The sequence below is a fragment of the Homo sapiens genome, chromosome 14, assembly GCF_000001405.40.
Source record: "Homo sapiens chromosome 14, GRCh38.p14 Primary Assembly".
NCBI classification, from domain to species: domain Eukaryota; kingdom Metazoa; phylum Chordata; class Mammalia; order Primates; family Hominidae; genus Homo; species Homo sapiens.
In genome coordinates this window covers 87,414,012-87,431,912 of record NC_000014.9, presented here as the reverse complement: position 1 = coordinate 87,431,912, position 17,901 = coordinate 87,414,012, and the positions used below count along the sequence as shown (strand labels likewise).

Below are 17,901 nucleotides of genomic sequence, written 5' to 3'. Positions count from 1 at the left end.
TAGGGTTTCAATGTATGAATTTGGGGAAGACACAATTCATTTCATAGCACTCCACCCCAGCCTCCCAAAATTCATGTTCTTATATATAAATATATTTATTCTATCCCAATAACAAAAAAAGTCTAAAGCATTTTGTTATAGCAGCCAGAGCAGACTAATACAAATTTTGATACAGAGAAACAGGATTCTGCTAAATATGTAAAAATGTGGAGACAGCTCTGAACCTGGGCAACAGGTAGCATCCTGAAGAGTGTTAAAGAACGTGCTAGAAATATGAATGGAAGTGGTGATTCTGGTGAGGGCACAGGAAGAAAAGAAGGGAGCTGGAGGAAACGTTTGCTGGGTTCCGGACCTGACACCCATCATCTCTCCTTCCTTGCTCATTTCTCTTTTTTGGAGTGGGCATCTGTCTCCTATGCCTGTTCCAGTCTTGTATTTTGGAAGCAAAAATCTCCTCTGGTTTCACAGTTTTGCAGCTAGAGAGGAATTTTACTCAGGATGAATCGCAACTTAAGTCTTACCCATGGGTAATGTTTACCTAAATATGTGGGCACCCTGTGGCTCAGTTAAGATGATACATAAAAGTTAACCGTCCCACGGATGCAGTTGGCCCATGTGCCACACTCTGAGGAACAGGTTTTTGTTTTAGAATTTCAAAACTTTTTTAAAGCAGCTCTGTATTTTAGATGTACTTTCTTCTATCCTATTTTTTTCCTATTTCCCATTTAATGCAGGAAGCACCTAACCCTGTTGATTCCAACACACTGCATAAAAGTTTTGCAATGTGTCATGCTTTCAAGCCATGGCAATGAAAAAAATCACTTGTATTGTTTCTATTGCCCAACATATAAACCCAGATCCCTACTATTGACCCATAACCCCTGCCTGAGACAACATGGCTAGCAGATTACAAGAGGGCTATCACTGTGTGCTCAGCATATTAGTCACTTCCTGTATATATTAGTCAGGGATCTCTAGAAGGTCAGAACTAATAGGACAGATGTGTATATAACAGGGAGTTTATTAAGGAGTATTGACTCACAGGATCACAAGGTGAGGTCTCAAAATAGACTGTCTGCAAGCTGATGAGCAAGGAAGCCAGTCTGAGTCCCAAAGCTGAAGAACTTGGAGTCTGATGTTTGAGGCCAGGAAGCATCCAGCACAGGAAAAAGATGGAGGCCAGAAGACTAAACCAGTCGAGTCTTTCCACGTTCTTCTGCCTGCTTTTATTCTGGCCGCACTGGCAGCTGATTAGATGGTGCCCACCCAGACTGAGGGTGGGTCTGCCTTTCCCAGTCCACTGCATCAAATGTTAATCTCCTTTGGCGGTACCCTCACAGACACACTCAGGATCAATACTTTGCATCCTTCAATACAATCGAGTTGACACTCAGTATTAATCATCACACTGTAACACACAATATGGTCTTCCTATCCTCTCCCCTTAAGCTAAACAACTTGATAAAATTAGAAAGGCATGCAGAGAGTGACGAGAGGAGTGTGATGATCAAGCTGCCTGTTCTGCAGAGCTGACGAGTTGGTGGCTCTGGATTCTTTAGAGCCGTCTTTTTAAAAAATTTGACAGCCGTCTGGCTATATGGCACAATATTTATCTTGCAATATTGCTCCTGTTTGTGTCAAAACAAACAATGAGAGAAAATCCAGCACAGAAGAAAATGACGGGAACAGATCCTGCTCAGAGTCAACACAGGACACTGCATTCCTGATGATATTTTTCACCCAGGTGTGTGTGGTCTCACGCTTTTTGTTCTGCTCCTTGATTCTTTTGCACACTCTCCAGCTGCAATCAAGTTCACTGTTTTCTTTATTATCATTTTTCTATGCAAAGCTAGTGTCAGGAAATTTTTATAATAATATAATTTAGTCATATAGTTATCCTTGTATTATTTTGAGTGCCTTTTTTGTGTCAGGCACTGTGTTCAAGGGTGACAAACAAAAGTGAGTCAAATAGAAAATATATTTTTTCTGGCCGGATGTGGTGGCTCATGTTCGTAATCTCAGCACTTTGGGAGGTGGAGGCGGGCGGATCAGGAGGTCAGCAGATCGAGACCATCCTGACTAACATGGTGAAACCCCGTGTCTACTAAAAATACAAAAAAATTAGCCGGGCGTGGCGGCGGGAGCCTGTAGTCTCAGCTACTCGGGAGGCTGAGGCAGGAGAATGGCATGAACCTGGGAGGCGGAGCTTGCAGTGAGCCTAGATCGCGCCACTGTACTCCAGCCTGGGCAACAGAGTGAGACTCTGTCTGAAAAAAAGAAAGAAAGAAAAAGAAAAGAAAAAAATAAAATGTATTTTTTCCAATATGAAATTAATTGGGCACATACTATGTAGCAGGCACTCTGTTCAGTGCTTTAAATATATTTTCTCAAAGTTATAAAGTTTTCAACAAGCTAAAATGCAGGTTCTAATATTGCCTCTATTTTTCAGTTGAGAAAACCGAGGCTTAGCATGATTGCAGGACTTGATCACAGTCACATAGCCAGGTGGGAGATCTAGATCGAAATCAAAGTAATTTAAAAATATATGACAAGTTATTAATAAGTAGATTCTGAAGAATCAGTTATTAACAAAAGCTAAATTGCTTTTATTTATTTATTATTATTATACTTTAAGTTTTAGGGTACATGTGCACAATGTGCAGGTTAGTTACATATGTATACATGTGCCATGCTGGTGCACTGCACCCACTAACTCACCATCTAGCAACAGGTATATCTCCCAATGCTATCCCTCCCCCTTCCCCCCACAACAGTCACCAGAGTGTGATGTTCCCCTTCCTGTGTCCATGTGTTCTCATTGTTCAATTCCCACCTATGAGTGAGAATATGCAGTGTATGGTTTTTTGTTCTTGCGATAGTTTACTGAGAATGATGATTTCCAATTTCATCCATGTCCCTACAAAGGACATGAACTCATCATTTTTTATGGCTGCATAGTATTCCATGGTGTATATGTGCCACATTTTCTTAAAACAGTCTATCATTGTTGGACATTTGGGTTGGTTCCAAGTCTTTGCTATTGTGAATAATGCCGCAATAAACATACGTGTGCATGTGTCTTTATAGCAGCATGATTTATAGTCCTTTGGGTATATACCCAGTAATGGGATGGCTGGGTCAAATGGTATTTCTAGTTCTACATCCCTGAGGAGTCGCCACAATGACTTCCACAATGGTTGAACTAGTTTACAGTCCCACCAACAGTGTAAAAGTGTTCCTATTTCTCCACATCCTCTCCAGCACCTGTTGTTTCCTGACTTTTTAATGGTTGCCATTCTAACTGGTGTAAGATGGTATCTCATTGTGGCTTTGATTTGCATATCTCTGATGGCCAGTGATGGTGAGCATTTTTTCATGTGTTTTTTGGCTGCATAAATGTCTTCTTTTGAGAAGTGTCTGTTTATGTCCTTTGCCCACTTTTTGATGGGGTTGTTTGTTTTTTTCTTGTAAATTTGTTTGAGTTCATTGTAGATTCTGGATATTAGCCCTTTGTCAGATGAGTAGGTTGCAAAAATTTTCTCCCATTCTGTAGGTTGCCTGTTCACTCTGATGGTGGTTTTTTTTTTTTTTTTTTTTTTTTTTTTTGCTGTGCAGAAGCTCTTTAGTTTAATTAGATCCCATTTGTCAATTTTGGCTTCTGTTGGCATTGCTTTTGGTGTTTTAGACATGAAGTCCTTGCCCATGCCTATGTCCTGAATGGTAATGCCTAGGTTTTCTTCTAGGGTTTTTATGGTTTTAGGTCTAAGGTTTAAGTCTTTAATCCATCTTGAATTGATTTTTTTTATAAGGTGTAAGGAAGGGATCCAGTTTCAGCTTTCTACATATGGCTAGCCAGTTATCCCAGCACCATTTATTAAATAGGGAATCCTTTCCCCATTGCTTGTTTTTTTCAGGTTTGTCAAAGATCAGATAGTTGTAGATATGCAGCATTATTTCTGAGGGCTCTGTTCTGTTCCATTGATCTATATCTCTGTTTTGGTACCAGTACCATGCTGTTTTGGTTACTGTAGCCTTGTAGTATAGTTTGAAGTCAGGTAGCGTGATGCCTCCAACTTTGTTCTTTTGGCTTAGGATTGATTTGGCGATGCGGGCTCTTTTTTCGTTCCATATGAACTTTAAAGTAGTTTTTTCCAATTCTGTGAAGAAAGTCATTGGTAGCTTGATGGGGATGGCATTGAATCTATAAATTACCTTGGGCAGTATGGCCATTTCCACGATATTGATTCTTCCTACCCATGAGCATGGAATGTTCTTCCATGTGTTTGTATCCTCTTTTATTTCATTGAGCAGTGGTTTGTAGTTCTCCTTGAAGAGGTCCTTCACATCCCTTGTAAGTTGGATTCCTAGGTATTTTATTCTCTTTGAAGCAATTGTGAATGGGAGTTCACTCATGATTTGGCTCTCTGTTTGTCTGTTGTTGGTGTGTAAGAATGCTTGTGATTTTTGTACATTGATTTTGTATCCTGAGACTTTGCTGAAGTTGTTTATCAGCTTAAGGAGATTTTGGGCTGAGACAATGGGGTTTTCTAGATATACAATCATGTCATCTGCAAACAGGGACAATTTGACTTCCTCTTTTCCTAATTGAATACCCTTTATTTCCTCCTGCCTAATTGCCCTGGCCAGAACTTCCAACACTATGTTGAATAGGAGTGGTGAGAGAGGGCATCCCTGTCTTGTGCCAGTTTTCAAAGGGAATGCTTCCAGTTTTTTCCCATTCAGTATGATATTGGCTGTGGGTTTGTCATAGATAGCTCTTATTATTTTGAGATACATCCCATCAATACCTAGTTTATTGAGAGTTTTTAGCGTGAAGGGTTGTTGAATTTTGTCAAAGGCCTTTTCTGCATCTATTGAGAAAATCATATGGTTTTTGTCTTTGGTTCTGTTTATATGCTGGATTACATTTATTGAACCAGCCTTGCATCCCAGGGATGAAGCCCACTTGATCATGGTGGATAAGCTTTTTGATGTGCTGCTGGATTCGGTTTGCCAGTATTTTATTGAGGATTTTTGCATCAATGTTCATCAAGGATATTGGTCTAAAATTCTCTTTTTTGGTTTTGTCTCTGCCTGGCTTTGGTAAGAAGATGATGCTGGCCTCATAAAATGAGTTAGGGAGGATTCCCTCTTTTTCTATTGATTGGAATAGTTTCAGAAGGAATGGTACCAGTTCCTCTTTGTACCTCTGGTAGAATTCGGCTGTGAATCCATCTGGTCCTGGACTCTTTTTGGTTGGTAAGCTATTGATTATTGCCACAATTTCAGCTCCTGTTATTGGTCTATTCAGAGATTCAGCTTCTTCCTGGTTTAGTCTTGGGAGAGTGTATGTGTTGAGGAATTTATCCATTTCTTCTAGATTTCCTAGTTTATTTGCATAGAGGTGTTTGTAGTATTCTCTGATGGTAGTTTGTATTTCTGTGGGATCAGTGGTGATATCCCCTTTATCATTTTTTATTGTGTCTATTTGATTCTTCTCTCTTTTTTTCTTTATTAGTCTTGTGGTCTATCAATTTTGTTGATGCTTTCAAAAAACTAGCTCCTGGATTCATTAATTTTTTGAAGGGTTTTTTGTGTCTCTATTTCCTTCAGTTCTGCTCAGATTTTAGTTATTTCTTGCCTTCTGGTAGCTTTTGAATGTGTTTGCTCTTGCTTTTCTAGTTCTTTTAATTGTGATGTTAGGGTGTCAATTTTGGATCTTTCCTGCTTTCTCTTGTAGGCATTTAGTGCTATAAATTCCCTTCTACAAACTGCTTTGAATGCATCCCAGAGATTCTGGTATGTTGTGTCTTTGTTCTCATTGGTTTCAAAGAACATCTTTATTTCTGCCTTCATTTCGTTATTTACCCAGTAGTCATTCAGGAGGAGTTGTTCAGTTTCCATGTAGTTAAGTGGTTTTGAGTGAGATTCTTAATCCTGAGTTCTAGTTTGATTGCACTGTGGTCTGAGAGACAGTTTGTTATAATTTCTGTTCTTTTACATTTGCTGAGGAGAGCTTTAATTCCAAGTATGTGATCAATTTTGGAATAGGTGTGATGTAGTGCTGAAAAAAATGTATATTCTGTTAATTTGGGGTGGAGAGTTCTGTAGATGTCTATTAGGTCTGCTTGGTGCAGAGCTGAGCTCAATTCCTGGGTATCCTTGCTGACTTTCTGTCTCAGTGATCTGTCTAATGTTGACATTGGGGTGTTAAAGTTTCCCATTATTATTGTGTGGGAGTCTAAGTCTCTTTGTAGGTCTCTAAGGACTTGCTTTATGAATCTGGGTGCCTCTGTATTGGGTGCATATATATTTAGGATAGTTAGCTCTTCTTGTTGAATTGATCCCTTTACCATTATGTAATGGCCTTCTTTGTCTCTTTTGATCTTTGTTGGTTTAAAGTCTGTTTTATCAGAGACTAGGATTGCAACCCCTGCCTTTTTTTGTTTTCCATTTGCTTGGTAGATCTTCCTCCATCCTTTTATTTTGAGCCTATGTGTGTCTCTGCCCGTGAGATGGGTTTCCTGAATACAGCACACTGATGGGTCTTGACTCTTTGTCCGATTTGCCAGTCTGTGTCTTTTAATTGTAGCATTTAGATTTACATTTAAAGTTAATATTGTTATGTGTGAATTTGATCCTGTCATTATGATGTTAGCTGGTTATTTTGCTTGTTAGTTGATGCAGTTTATTCCTAGTCTCGATGATCTTTACATTTTGGCATGATTTTCCAGCGGCTGTTACCGGTTATTCCTTTCCATGTTTAGCGCTTCCTTCAGGAGCTCTTTTAGGGCAGGCCTCGTGGTGACATAATCTCTCAGCATTTCCTTGTCTGTGAAGTATTTTATTTCTCCTTCACTTATGAAGCTTAGTTTGGCTGGATATGAAATTCTGGGTTGAAAATTCTTTAAGAGTGTTGAATATTGGCCCCCTCTCTCTTCTGGCTTGTAGAGTTTTTGCAGAGAGATCTGCTGTTAGTCTGATGGGCTTCCCTTTGAGGGTAACCCGACCTTTCTCTCTGGCTGCCCTTAACATTTTTTCCTTCATTTCAACTTTGGTGAATCTGACAATTATGTGTCTTGGAGTTGCTCTTCTCGAGGAGTATCTTTGTGGCATTCTCTGTATTTTCTGAATCCGAATGTTGGCCTGCCTTGCTAGATTGGGGAAGTTCTCCTGGATAATATCCTGCAGAGTGTTTTCCAACTTGGTTCCATTCTCCCCGTCACTTTCAGGTACACCAATGAGACGTAGATTTGGTCTTTTCACATAGTCCCATATTTCTTGGAGGCTTTGTTCGTTTCTTTTTATTCTTTTTTCTCTAAACTTCCCTTCTCGCTTCATTTCATTCATTTCATCTTCCATTGCTGATACCCTTTCTTCCAGTTGATCGCATCGGCTCCTGAGGCTTCTGCATTCTTCGCGTAGTTCTCGAGCCTTGGTTTTCAGCTCCTTTAAGCACTTCTCTGTATTGGTTATTCTAGTTATACATTCTTCTAAATTTTTTTCAAAGTTTTCAACTTCTTTGCCTTTGAATTTCCTCCCATAGCTTGGAGTAATTTGATCGTCTGAAGCCTTCTTCTCTCAGCTCGTCATTCTCTGTCCAGCTTTGTTCCATTGCTGGTGAGAAACTATGTTCCTTTGGAGGAGGAGAGGCGCTCTGCTTTTTAGAGTTTCCAGTTTTTCTGCTCTGTTTTTTCCCCATCTTTGTGGTTTTATCTACTTTTGGTCTTTGATGATGGTGATGTACAGATGGGTTTTTGGTGTGGATGTCCTTTCTGTTTGTTAGTTTTCCTTCTAACGGACAGGACCCTCAGCTGCAGGTCTGTTGGAGTACCCAGCCGTGTGAGGTGTCAGTCTGCCCCTGCTGGGGGGTGCCTCCCAGTTAGGCTGCTTGGGGGTCAGGGACCCACTTGAGGAGGCAGTCTGCCCGTTCTCAGATCTCCAGCTGCGTGCTGGGAGAACCACTGCTCTCTTCAAAGCTGTCAGACAGGGACATTTAAGTCTGCAGAGGTTACTGCTGTCTTTTTGTTTGTCTGTGCCCTGCCCCCAGAGGTGGAGCCTACAGAGGCAGGCAGGCCTCCTTGAGCTGTGGTGGGCTCCACCCAGTTCGAGCTTCCTGGCTGCTTTGTTTATCTAAGCAAGCCTGGGCAATGGTGGGCGCCCCTCCCCCAGCCTCGCTGCTGCCTTGCAGTTTGATCTCAGACTGTTGTGCTAGCAATCAGTGGGACTCCGTGGGCGTAAGACCCTCCGAGCCAGGTGCGGGATATAATCTCCTGGTGGGCCCTTTTTTAAGCCTGTCAGAAAAGGGCAGTATTCTGGTGGGAGTGACCGGATTTTCCAGGTGCTGTCTGTCACCACTTTCTTTGACTAGGAAAGGGAACTCCCTGACCCCTTGAGCTTCTCCAGTGAGGCAATGCCTTGCCCTGCTTCAGCTCGCGCACACTGCATGCACCCACTGACCTGTGCCCACTCTCTGGCACTCCCTAGTGAGATGAATCCAGTACCTCAGATGGAAATGCAGAAATCACCCGTCTTCTGCGTTGCTCACGCTGGGAGCTGTAGACCGGAGCTGTTCCTATTCGGCCATCTTGGCTCCTCCCTAAATTGCTCCTTTTTAATGAATTTATTTATTCTTGTAAAAACAAATCTTAAGCAAAAGAAATGGGCTGCAAGTGGTTAATTATAGACATCAGCATCCTAAAAAAATGGATTTGGGGCAGAATGTTATGGGGAGTGAGGGATGAGGAGTACATACCTGCACTTCCAAAAAGATAATACATAAGCCCAGTGTGCTTGTATTTCAGTCCTACAAAGCTCTCACAGGAGGTACCACCCATGGTACCTGCCAGGTTCCACTATTTCTACAGGAACTGGGATGATGACAAGTCATGTGGCTACAAGTAACTTCAGTACTTTGAAGTACATGTTGCTGTGGGTAGAGCAATATGGAGGCAGTTTTGGTGGTCCAGAAAAAAAGATGGTCGTATCTTAGAACATGTGGTGGGAGTTAGAAAGAAAAGAAGTAAATTAATTTAAGAAATATTGAGGAGGCAAAATCAACAGAACCAAAAGATAGATTGGATATGAGGTGGAAGGAGAGAAAGGCACCAATAATGACTTCTGTTCATGCCACTCCCCAACTAAGGAAAACATACGGGGCAACAGGTCTGGTGGGGATGAAAACTGTGTTGGGAACCATATCAAGTAAGCATCTGGGACTATGAGGTAGATCTCAGAGGAAAGTTCTAGAAGGGAGATAAGCACATGTAAGACTTCTACAAGTAGGTGATAAATAAAACCCTGTGATGTACTTGGTTTTGTGTTGGGTTCAGGGAACACAGACATCAGAGAGTCAGGGAATATTTCTGTATCTTCTTCACTCCACTCTGACAGGCTGTCAACGAAATGTAAAAGCATTCTCTTAAAATGCTTTCTAAATTACACACACAGTTAAAATGCTTTCTAAACTCCACAAATGTTAATTTTAATTATTAATAAGAAATAAATGACAATAAGAAATTTTTACATTACCTGATTATGTGAGAGAGTTTAATGGAAGGAATATGGAAAGATTATGTGGGTGACATAGGAGAAATTTTTTCCCAGATGACCATTGTGCACAAGGAGAGTGCAGGCTAGGCCTGGTCCCAGGAAGGGAAAGTGTTCCTGGGTCATTCTAGAAAGTAAGATATGGACCTTGGGCTGCAATGCTCTCTGTCCCAACTATGATTTATACAGAAGAAGAATTATTTTATCAACAAAAGATTAATGATACTCACAGATTCTGGAGAGACAAAACTCTTGTCCAATCCACCAAATTTCTATTTGTGTTCTGTGAACACTAGTATCCTGTATAAGGTTAACTAACTGTGTTATGGGGAAAAATGTTAACAAAATTTTTCTTTTTCCAAGTATGCAAATGTACGTCAGAACAATGACATGTATTCTTCTAATGGTTTCTTATTAATATCTCGTGTAGTAATTGGCCTTTTAGAAATGATACATATCAAAGAGAATTGCAGGACATTACATAAAATACATTCTCTGAGAAGGATCTTTTGATGGTTAATTTCATATATGAACTTGATTTGGCTAAGGGACACCCTGATAGCTGGTAAAACATTATTTCTGGGAGTCTGTAAGGACGTTTCCAGAAGAGATTAACATTTGAATCAGTAGACTGAGTAAATAAGATCTGTACTTACCAATGTGGCTAGGCACCATGCAATCCCTTGAGGACCCAAATAGAATAAAACTGTGGATTAAGGTACATTTGCTCTCTCTGCTTGAGCTGGGACACCCATCTCCTCATGCCCTCAGACACTGGTGTCCCCAATTCTTAGACTTTGGGTCTCAGACTAAGTCTCTCTCTCTCTCTCTCATTCTTTGCTCTTGACAAAATACATGCTTTTTCCTTAAGATTTACGTTTTATTATGATTAAAAGAGCAAGGTATTGTGAAGTTCTTTTGGCAGTCTAGGTGCTTAAAATCTATACTATCTAATTTTATTTCTCTATTTCCATTATTTTAATCAACATAAAAATTTAAGTTACTACCTACGAAACAGAATGGAAACTTGAATATGGAACTGGAAAATTTCCATGAAGCTGAAATATACTGAAGCACATGACTTGCAACAAAGCACTTTTATTTGAAAGTTGCCTCTGAATGTCTTTAGACAGGATATTCACTTTCCAGAATAATGCAGTTCTCATGATTCTTATTGCCTTACACTCAGACCACTTACAGGACTCTCCTGGCCCTCAAAGGCATTTGCAGTTCTTGAGGTTGGGAGAAAAAGAGGAAAAGAAATCAGAGCATCCTGGTAATTGGCATATTCATCACCTCAAACATGTATCATTTCTTTTTATTAGGAACATTCCAGTTCCACTCTTATGGTTATTTTGATACATACAACAAATTATTGTTATCTATAGTCACCCCACTGTGGATGGGGTGGAACACTAGAACTTATTCCTTCTATATATAACTACTTTTGTAGTCATTAACCAACTTCTGTTTATCCTTCCCCTCACTGCTACCCTTCCCAGTCTTTGGTAACCATTGTTTTACCCCCATGAACATTTATCAAAATGTCACATATAGCCCAGAAATATGGACAATCAATCATTATATATTTAAAAAAAGAAATCAAAGCATCTTTATAATCTATTCACTGCTGTAATTTAGTGCGTGTTTTATGTCCTCACATACATAGTGCATGTTTTATGTCCTCATATTAACTGGGGCTAATATATTAGTCTTATTTCCATGAGACCTTAGTAAGAATCTTAAAGAATAATCAACTTTAATTATTTCAAAAAATGCTTCATAAACTTAAAAATCTTATAAGCATATATATCAAGATTGGTTTGTTCCTTTGTGCAAACAAAAATAATTACAGGAGAAAAGGCGGGTGAAATTATTGCCATACTAAGATGTGCCTCATATGCTCTGCTAGTAATTCCTTTTTCTCAAGAGACTAAAGCTGTCATGAATTTCACAGAGAGTGTAGTTTACTGTTTTATTCATTTGCTTGTTTAGGAAATATTTATTTATTACTGATTACATACCAATTATTTTGTTACTCACTTGTTATGATCTAGGTATAGGCCCTTCTCTCAGAAGCTTATAATCTAGTGTTGAAGAAATGCTCTACATTAGGCAGGGCAGAGAGGGATGCTCTCCTGAGGGAGGGGGAAGGAGTATTTAGTATGAGAAGGAATGAGCCATCTGAAAGTATGGGAGTGGCACATTCCAGATAGCAAAGGAGAATATTAAATGTAAACATCCTTGGGGAGATAAGGTGTGGGTAATTCTGGGAATTCAGAAGGCAATTCCCAGAATGAAGAAACAAGTGACATCCCATCACAAGGAGCCTGTGGCAGAAGATGAAGTAGAGAGGTAGGCAAGAGCCAGGTGGTGCAGGGCTCTGCAGACAATTTGGATTTCGCATCAGTTTCCTATAGTTGTATAATAGATTAGCGGCAATTGAGCAGCTTAATACAATACCTGTTCATTATCTAACACCCATGCATTATCTAACATTTTCAATGGGTCAGATACTTAGACACGGCGCAGGTCAGCTTGATCCTCTGCTCTGGATTTACAAAGCCAAAGTCAATGAGTTGACTTGCTGGGATTTTATGGTAGGCCCTGAGGAATAATCTCCATCTAAACTCATTCAGGTTGTTGTAAGAATTCAGTTAAGAAAATGGCCGAATAGGAACAGCTCCGGTCTACGGCTCCCAGCATGAGCAATGCAGAAGACGGGTGATTTCTGCATTTCAAACTGAGGTACTGGGTTCATCTCACTGGGGAGTGCCAGACAGTAGGTGCAGGACAGTAGGTGAAGTGTACCGTGCGTGAGCCGAAGCAGGGCAAGACATCACCTCACCCGGGAAGCTCAAGGGGTCAGGGAATTCCCTTTCCTAGTCAAAGAAAGCGGTGACAGACGGCACCTGGAAAATCGGGTCACTCCCACACTAATACTGTGCTTTTCCAACGGGCTTAAAAAACGGCACACCAGGAGATTATATCCCGCACCTGGCTTGGAGGGTCCTTTGCCCACGGAGTCTCGCTCATTGCTAGCACAGCAGTCTGAGATCAAACTACAAGGCGGCAGCGAGGCTGGGGGAGGGGCACCCACCATTGCTGAGTTAGTTGTTTGATTAGGTAAACAAAGTGGCTGGGAAGCTCTAACTTGGTGGAGCCCACCACAGCTCAAGGAGGCCTGCCTGCCTGCCTCTGTAGGATCCACCTCTGGGAGCAGGGCACAGACAAACAAAAAGACGGCAGTAACCTCTGCAGACTTAGATGTCCCTCTCTGACAGCCTTGAAGGGAGCAGCGGTTCTCCGAGCACACAGCTTGAGATCTGAGAACAGGCAGACTGCCTTCTCAAGTGGGTCCCTGACCTCCGAGTAGCCTAACTGGGAGGAACCTCCCAGTAGGGGCGGACTGACACCTCACACGGATGGGTACTCCTCTGAGACAAAACTTCCAGAGGAAGGATCAGGCAGCAGCATTTGCAGTTCACCAATATCTGCTGTTCTGCAGCCACTGCTGCTGATACCCAGGCAAACAGAGTCTGGAGTGGACCTCAAGTAAACTCCAACAGACCTGCAGCTGAGGGTCCTGACTGTTAGAAGGAAAACTAACAAACAGAAAGGACATCCACACCAAAAACCCATCTGTACATCACCATCATCAAAGACCAAAAGTAGATAAAACCACAAAGATGGGAAAAAAAACAGAGCAGAAAAACTGAAAACTCTAAAAATCAGAGTGCCTCTCCTCCTCCAAAGGAACGCAGCTCCTCACCAGCAACTGAACAAAGCTGGATGGGGAATGACTTTGATGAGTTGAGAGAAGGCTTCAGATGATCAAACTACTCTGAGCTACAGGAGGAAATTTGAACCAATGGCAAAGAAGTTAAAGGCTTTGAAAAAAAATCAGATGAATGGATAACTAGAATAACCAATGCAGAGAAGTCCTTAAAGGACCTGATGGAGCTGAAAACCAAGGCATGAGAGCTACTTGACGAATGCAGAAGCTTCAGTAGCTGATGCAATCAACTGGAAGAAAGGGTATCAGTGATGGAAGACGAAATGAATGAAATGAAGCGAGAAGGGAAGTTTAGAGAAAAAAGAATAAAAAGAAACGAACAAAGCCTCCAAGAAATATGGGACTATGTGAAAAGACCAAATCTACGTCTCATTGGTGTACCTGAAAGTGACGGGGAGAATGGAACCAAGTTGGAAAACACTCTGCAGGATATTATCCAGGAGAACTTACCCAATCTAGCAAGGCAGGCCAACATTCAAATTCAGGAAATACAGAGAATGCCACAAAGATACTCCTTGAGAAGAGCAACTCCAAGACACATAATTGTCAGATTCACCAAAGTTGAAATGAAGGAAAAAATGTTAAGGGCAGCCAGAGAGAAAGGTCGGGTTACCCACAAAGGGAAGCCCATCAGACTAACAGCTGATCTCTCAACAGAAACTCTACAAGCCAGAAGAGAGTGAGGACCAATGTTCAACATTCTTAAAGAAAAGAATTTTCAACCCAGAATCTCATATCCAGCCAAACTAAGCTTCATAAGTGAAGGAGAGATAAAATACTTTACAGACAAGCAAATGCTGAGAGATTTTGTCACCACCAGGCCTGCCCTAGAAGAGCTCCTGAAGGAAGCACTAAACCTGGAAAGGAACAACCAGTACCAGCCACTGCAAAAACATGCCAAATTGTAAAGACCATCAAGGCTAGGAATAAACTGCATCAACTAACAAGCAAAATAACCAGCTAACATCATAATGACAGTATCAAATTCATATACAACAATATTAACTTTAAATGTAAATGGGCTAAATGCTCCAATTGAAAGGCACAGACTGGCAAATTGGATAAAGAGTCAAGACCCATCAGTGTCCTGTATTCAGGAAACCCATCTCATGTGCAGAGACACACATAGGCTCAAAATATAGTGATGGAGGAAGATCTACCAAGCAAATGGAAAACAAAAAAGAAGACAGGGGTTGCAATCCTAGTCTCTGATGAAACAGACATTAAACCAACAAAGATCCAAACAGACAAAGAAGGCCATTACATAATGGTAAAGGGATCAATTCAGCAAGAAGAGCTAACTATCCTAAATATATATGCACCCAATACAGGTGCATATTTACAGATTCATAAAGCAAGTCCTGAGTGACCTACAAAGAGACTTAGACTCCCACACAATAATAATGGGAGACTTTAACACCCCACTGTCAACATTAGACAGATCAACGAGACAGAAAGTTAACAAGGATACCCAGGAATTGAACTCAGCTCTGCACCAAGCGGACCTAATAGACATCTACAGAACTCTCCACCCAAAATCAACAGAATATACATTCTTTTCAGCACCACACCACACCTACTCAAAAATTGACCACATAGTTGGAAGTAAAGCACTCTTCAGCATATGTAAAAGAGCAGAAATTATAATAAACTGTCTCTCAGACCACAGTGCAATCAAACTAGAACTCAGGATTAAGAAACTCACTCAAAACCGCTCAACCACATGGAAACTGAACAACCTGCTCCTGAATGACTACTGGGTAAATAACGAAATGAAGGCAGAAATAAAGATGTTCTTTGAAACCAATGAGAACAAAGACAAAACATACCAGAATCTCTGGGACACATTCAAAGCAGTGTGTAGAGGGAAATTTATAGCACTAAATGCCCACAAGAGAAGGCAGGAAATATCCAAAATTGACACCCTAACATCACAATTAGAAAACTAGAAAAGCAAGAGCAAACACATTCAACAGCTAGCAGAAGGCAAGAAATAACTAAGGTCAGAGCAGAACTGAAGGAAATAGAGACACAAGAAACCCTTCAAAAAATTAACGAATCCAGGAGCTGGTTTTTTGAAAAGATCAACAAAATTGATAGACTGCTAGCAAGACTAATAAAGAAGAAAATAGAGAAGAATCAAATAGACACAATAAAAAATGATTGATAAAGGGGATATCACCACCAATACCACAGAAATTCAAACTACCATCAGAGAATACTATAAACACCTCTACACAAATAAACTAGAAAATCTAGAAGAAATGGATCAATTCCTTGACACATACATCCTCCCAAGACTAAACCAGGAAGAAGTTGAATCTCTGAATAGACCAATAACAGGCTCTGAAATTGAGTCAATAATCAATAGCTTACCAACCAAAAAGAGTCCAGGACCAGATGGATTCACAGCCGAATTCTACCAGAGGTAGAAGGAGGAGCTGGTACCATTCCTTCTGAAACAATTCCAGTCAATAGAAAAAGAGGGAATCCTCCCTAACTCATTTTATGAGGCCAGCATCATCCTCATACCAAAGCCTGGCAGAGACAAAACCAAAAAAGAGAATTTTAGACCAATATCCTTGATGAACATTGATGCAAAATTCCTCAATAAAATACTGGCAAACTGAATCCAGCAGCACATCAAAAAGCTTATTCACCATGATTAAGTGGGCTTCATCCCTGTGATGCAAGCCTGGTTCAACATACGCAAATTAATAAATGTAATCCGACATATAAATAGAACCAAAGACAAAAACCACGTGATTATCTCAATAGATGCAGAAAAGGCCTTTGACAAAATTCAACAACCCTTCATGCTAAAAACTCTCAATAAATTAGGTATTGATGGGATGTATCTCAAAATAATAAGAGCTATCTATGACAAACCCACAGCCAATATCATACTGAATGGGCAAAAACTGGAAGCATTCCCTTTGAAAACTGGCACAAGACAGGGATGCCCTCTCTCACCACTCCTATTCAACATAGTGTTGGAAGTTCTGGCCAGGGCAATTAGGCAGGAGAAGGAAATAAAGGGTATTCAATTAGGAAAAGAGGAAGTCAAATTGTCCCTGTTTGCAGATGACATGATTGTATATCTAGAAAACCCCATTGTCTCAGCCCAAAATCTCCTTAAGCTGATAAGCAACTTCAGCAAAGTCTCAGGACACAAAATCAATGTACAAAAATCACAAGCATTTTTATACACCAAAAACAGACAGAGAGCCAAATCATGAGTGAACTCCCATTCACAATTGCTTCAAAGAGAATAAAATACCTAGGAATCCAACTTACAAGGGATGTGAAGGACCTCTTCAAGGAGAACTACAAACCACTGCTCAAGGAAATAAAAGAGGATACAAACAAATGGAAGAACATTCCATGCCCATGGGTAGGAAGAATCAATATCGTGAAAATGGCCATACTGCCCAAGGTAATTTATAGATTAAATGCCATCCCCATCAAGATACCAATGACTTTCTTCACAGAATTGGAAAAAACTACTTTAAAGTTCATATGGGACCAAAAAAGAGCCTGCATCGCCAAGTCAATCCTAAGCCAAAAGAACAAAGCTGGAGGCATCACGCTACCTGACTTCAAACTATGCTACCAGGCTATAGTAATCAAAACAGCATGGTACTGCTACCAAAGCAGAGATATAGACCAATGGAACAGAACAGAGCCCTCAGAAATAATGCTGCATATCTACAACTATCTGATCTTTGACAAGCCTGACAAAAACAAGAAATGGGGAAAGGATTCCCTATTTAATAAATGGTGCTGGGAAAACTGGCTAGCCATATGTAGAAAGCTGAAACTGGATCCCTTCCTTATACCTTATACAAAAATTAATTCAATATGGATTAAAGACTTAAATGTTAGACCTAAAACCATAAAAATCCTAGAAGAAAACCTAGGCATTACCATTCAGGACATAGGCATGGGCAAGGACTTCATGTCTAAAACACCAAAAGCAATGGCAACAAAAGCCAAAATTGACAAATGGGATCTAATTAAACTAAAGAGCTTCTGCACAGCAAAAGAAACTACCATCAGAGTGAAGAGGCAACCTACAGAATGGGAGAAAATTTTTGCAACCTACTCATCTGACAAAGGGCTAATATCCAGAATCTACAATGAACTCAAACAAATTTACAAGAAAAAAACAACCCCATCAAAAAGTGGGCAAAGGATATGAACAGACACATCTCAAAAGAAGACATTTATGCCTCCAAAAAACACATGAAAAAATGCTCATCATCACTGGCCATCAGAGAAATGCAAATCAAAACCACAATGAGATACCATCTCACACCAGTTAGAATGGTGATCATTAAAAAGTCAGGAAACAACAGGTGCTGGAGAGGATGTGGAGAAATAGGAACACTTTTATACTGTTGGTGGGACTGTAAACTAGTTCAACCATTGTGGAAGTCATTGTGGCGATTCCTCAGGGATCTAGAACTAGAAATACCATTTGACCCAGCCATCCCATTACTGGGTATATACCCAAAGATTATAAATCATGCTGCTATAAAGACACATGCACATGT

General features: G+C 40.4%; 1 long non-coding RNA gene across 2 annotated transcripts in view, besides 1 other annotated feature; it reads left to right on the top strand.

Moving 5' to 3' along the window:
• The window catches only part of LINC02296 (long intergenic non-protein coding RNA 2296), a 268,818-nt gene that overhangs the window by 181,551 nt on the left and 69,366 nt on the right, over positions 1 to 17,901 (top strand). The gene's annotated exons all lie outside the window — the stretch shown is intronic.
• Positions 580 to 1,779: an enhancer, noted in NCBI's record as "CDK7 strongly-dependent group 2 enhancer chr14:87896478-87897677 (GRCh37/hg19 assembly coordinates)". NCBI's record gives its function as "activates an origin of replication core promoter dependent on BRD2, BRD4, P300/CBP, MED14 and CDK7 cofactors, with strong dependence on CDK7, by STARR-seq in HCT116 cells {active_cell/tissue: HCT116}" and the evidence as "EXISTENCE:reporter gene assay evidence [ECO:0000049][PMID:35650434]".